The 3551-nt window shown below is 56.1% G+C and overlaps 1 pseudogene, besides 1 other annotated feature; it reads right to left on the bottom strand.

The window, feature by feature from the left end:
• Positions 1700-2201: an enhancer, noted in NCBI's record as "H3K4me1 hESC enhancer chr3:197847723-197848224 (GRCh37/hg19 assembly coordinates)". NCBI's record gives its function as "activates a minimal SCP1, AML or CMV promoter by ChIP-STARR-seq in naive H9 embryonic stem cells {active_cell/tissue: H9 hESC(naive)}" and the evidence as "EXISTENCE:reporter gene assay evidence [ECO:0000049][PMID:30033119]".
• Positions 2106-3332, bottom strand: TUBB8P8 (tubulin beta 8 class VIII pseudogene 8; annotated as a pseudogene).

Here is a 3551-nt window from a genome sequence, read left to right as displayed (position 1 = left end):
CCTACAACACCCACCACTCTGGTTAGCTGCCAGTCCCAGCCCCTGTTCCCTCCTGGACCCCTGTCTGTACAGTTCTGAAGTCCTACAAGAATGTTGAGATCCTAAGCTGACTCTCACCCAAAGAGGTAAACAACCAGGGGCCTCCAGGTGGAGAGAACATACCCAGACAGGTTCTGCTGCCTGTAGGCTTGATGTCCTTCCCCTACAACACGACTTGCTTGCCAGGCTGGAAGAGGGGCTCCAGAAACTTGGGAAACCTGGGCCTGTAGCTGGCATGTGGAAAAGAGGCCTGGAAAAGCACCACTCCTGTCCATGAAGCCCCCACATGGAACCAGGTAGTTGGGAAATACATGGGCACCAAGCCTGACCCCCCATCAGACCTAGGTGGGAACTGCAGTGGTGACTTGCCCCCTCTGCCAGTCTGGCTGTACCACTACAGGAGGGAGGAACATCTAGCCCCACACGTGAGTGGAGACACCAGGTGTGGGCAGGTTCCGGTGGTTGCTGCAGCTGAACCTTCCTAACCAGGTCCATGCAAGACCATCTCAGATGGGTGCGCACCTGGGTTGGGCAAGGACACCCCTCAGACAGTGAGAGCCACTGAGAGGGGCTGCCACTGAGAGGGGCTGTCACAAAGGCCCCTTTTCCTGCTCTTAGAACAGGTTGGGCGAGTGTGGGCGAGTGTGGGCGAGTGTGGGCGAGTGTGGGGAACCTCTCCCACCTCCCAGCTGCTTCCAGGAGCCACTTCTTTTGAGATGAGACACTCTCCTGCCTGCCTGTTCCCATTTGGCTGCAATAGACCATTGACAACATTCAGAGAACAAGAAGGGGCCTCACCTGTTTTCCCTGACACGTCGGAGGCAGGTGGGCATTCCCAGGGGACCTGGGGTAGAACCTGTTCATCTGCCCACCCCCAGGCTATGCTGGCTTCATCTTATCTGTGCGATAGGGCTGGGGGTGGGGGTGGGGGTGGGAATTACCAAGAGACCATCACACAGGCCGTGGACAAGTTCTACAAGAGCCAGGGAGAAGAACACTGTCCGTGCATGCTGCCCAGCGCCCAGCTCACACACACAGCTCTCATTTGACAGCTTCCCCAAAGCAGGCTTTTGCAGTCCAGGCTCCCCAAGAAGCCTGGGGAGGAGACTCTGCCAGGCTGAAGGGCCTGTCCCCAAAGGTGCCACCCTCACCAGGCTCATCCTGGCAATCTTGGATTATTTTTGCCCTGAGGTTTTGGAGTGGGGGACAGGGAGACAGCAGACAGTACGCATTAGCCACCTTTCCAGAGAGCATCAGCCCTCCAGACTGGGGCAGGTCAGACCTCCACTCAGGCGTTTTTCTCACTGGTTGCCAGTTGGGGGAAGCAGCATTTGTGAGCACCTGCCTGTCTCCCCAGGTCCTGTTCAGAAACCCCATCTGTGCCTTTGGAGGGACTGCCCTGAGCACAGAGGCCCAGCAACCGCATCTACGGCCCCCAGGACCTAATCCCCTTCTACATCAGGTTCAGTGCATGTCACAGGCCCAGCAACCACATCTACGGCCCCCAGGACCTAATCCCCTTCTACTTGGGGTTCAGTGCATGTTAGCAGACACTGGGCTTGATCCCTGCCTAGTCCCTGCCAGATATCCCATGCCCACCTCGTGAAGAGAATGAGGCCACACAATCACACCCAGGCCATCGTGGTGATGGAGTCGCTGGGGTCCCACTTGCCCACCCTTCATTGCTGGTTCAGAGCCAGCTGTCTGACCACATTCCTACCCCGAGATGGGACTCTGGGGACATTGTCCAGCAGGGTTCGCTGACCCCTTTTAAAGTTCCAGAAACATGGCCAGCTGGTCCCCTAGAAGTTTGGCACATGGGATAAGCCAAGGCTTGCCTTCAGGAACAGGTTTTCCACCACGTCGCTGCCCAAGGCCCAGGGCATCCCCAAGTTCATGTGAAGCCTGCCTGCCATGTCCACAGCCCATGCCGAGCCCTCCTGGAGCCACTGGAATGCTTGTTCCTGGGCATGTGATAAGCCCAGACAGCTTCTGCCTTGCAGGACAACTATGCGCATCTGGCAGCAGTAGCCAGAGGGCCCATAGAAAGAAGATGGAGGTGAAACCAGATGCTGTGAAAATGCTTTATTAGGCAAAACCGCATACTATAAAAATGCTTTAAAACGCAGCAGGAGATGTGAAGACACAAATGAACAAGCGCATAGTGACACATGGCTGTCAGAACACAGTGAAGAACCCACACTGCCTCCCCCCTTTACCTAGAAAAGGAGAGTTCTAGGCCACCTCCTCCTCGGCATACTCCTCATCCTCCTCCTCCTCGGCCGTGGCATCCTGATATTGCTGATATTCAGACACCAGGTCGTTCATGTTGCTCTCGGCCTCGGTGAATTCCATCTCATCCATGCCCTCGCCCGTGTACCAGTAGAGGAAGGCCTTGCACCTGAACATTGCTGTAAACTGCTCTGAGACACGCTTGAAGAGTTCCTGGATGGCCGCATTATTCCCAACGAAGGTGGCGACATTTTTAGCCCCCAGGGTGGGATGTCACAGACGGCTGTTTTTACGTTGTCGGGGAGCCAGTCAGCAAAGTAGCTGCTGTTCTTATCTTGAATGTTGAACATCTGTTCATCCACCTCCCTCATGGGCATGCGACCCTGGAAAATGGCAGCCGCCATTAGGTAGCGGCCGTGACGGGGGTCACAGGCAGCCATCATGTTCTTAGCATCAAACATCTGCTGGGTGAGCTCAGCCACAGTCAAGGCCCGGTACTGCTGGCTGCCCCGGCTGGTCAGTGGGGCAAAGCCGGGCATGAAGAAATGCAGCCGGGGAAACGGGACCATGTTCACGGCCAGCTTCCGCAGGTCAGCATTCAGCTGGCCCGGGAAGCGCAGGCACGTGGTGACCCCACTCATGGTAGCAGACACCAGGTGGTTCAGGTCACCATAGGTGGGTGTGGGCAGTTTTAGGGTCCTGGAACATATGTCATACAGCGCTTCGTTATCTATGCAGAAGGTCTCATCTGTGTTTTCTATGAGCTGGTGGGCTGAGAGGGTGGCGTTGTAGGGCTCCACCACGGTGTCTGACACCTTGGGCGAGGGCAGGATGCTGAATGTGTTTATGATCCTGTCTGGGTACTCCTCCCGGATCTTACTAATGAGAAGGGTACCCATCCCAGACCCAGTCCCCCCACCCAGGGAGTGGGTCAGCTGGAAACCCTGCAGGCAGTCACAGCTCTCAGCCTCCTTTCTGACAACGTCCATCACTGACTCCATCAGCTCCGTGTCTTCGGTGTAGCGTCCCTTGGCCCAGTTGTTTCCGGCCCCACACTGACCTGTAAGACAGCACAGCCGGTCACTCGACGGCCAGGTATACGGTCATCAGTGGTCACCACCATAATGCAGAAAGGGCCAGGGGTTAAGGGGCTGCCTCTGAAGTGGTGGAGAGCACAAGGCTGCAGCTAGAAGCTGGGCCTCTTGCGAGATTTGCTTTATTTTATGTTGTCTCTGCCCTATTCCTGTGATGGAAAACTGCACAATCCAAATCTAAAATCT

This window comes from Homo sapiens, chromosome 3 (genome assembly GCF_000001405.40).
Source record: "Homo sapiens chromosome 3, GRCh38.p14 Primary Assembly".
Classification (NCBI taxonomy): Eukaryota; Metazoa; Chordata; class Mammalia; order Primates; family Hominidae; genus Homo; species Homo sapiens.
This window is presented reverse-complemented; position numbering and strand designations above follow the sequence as displayed.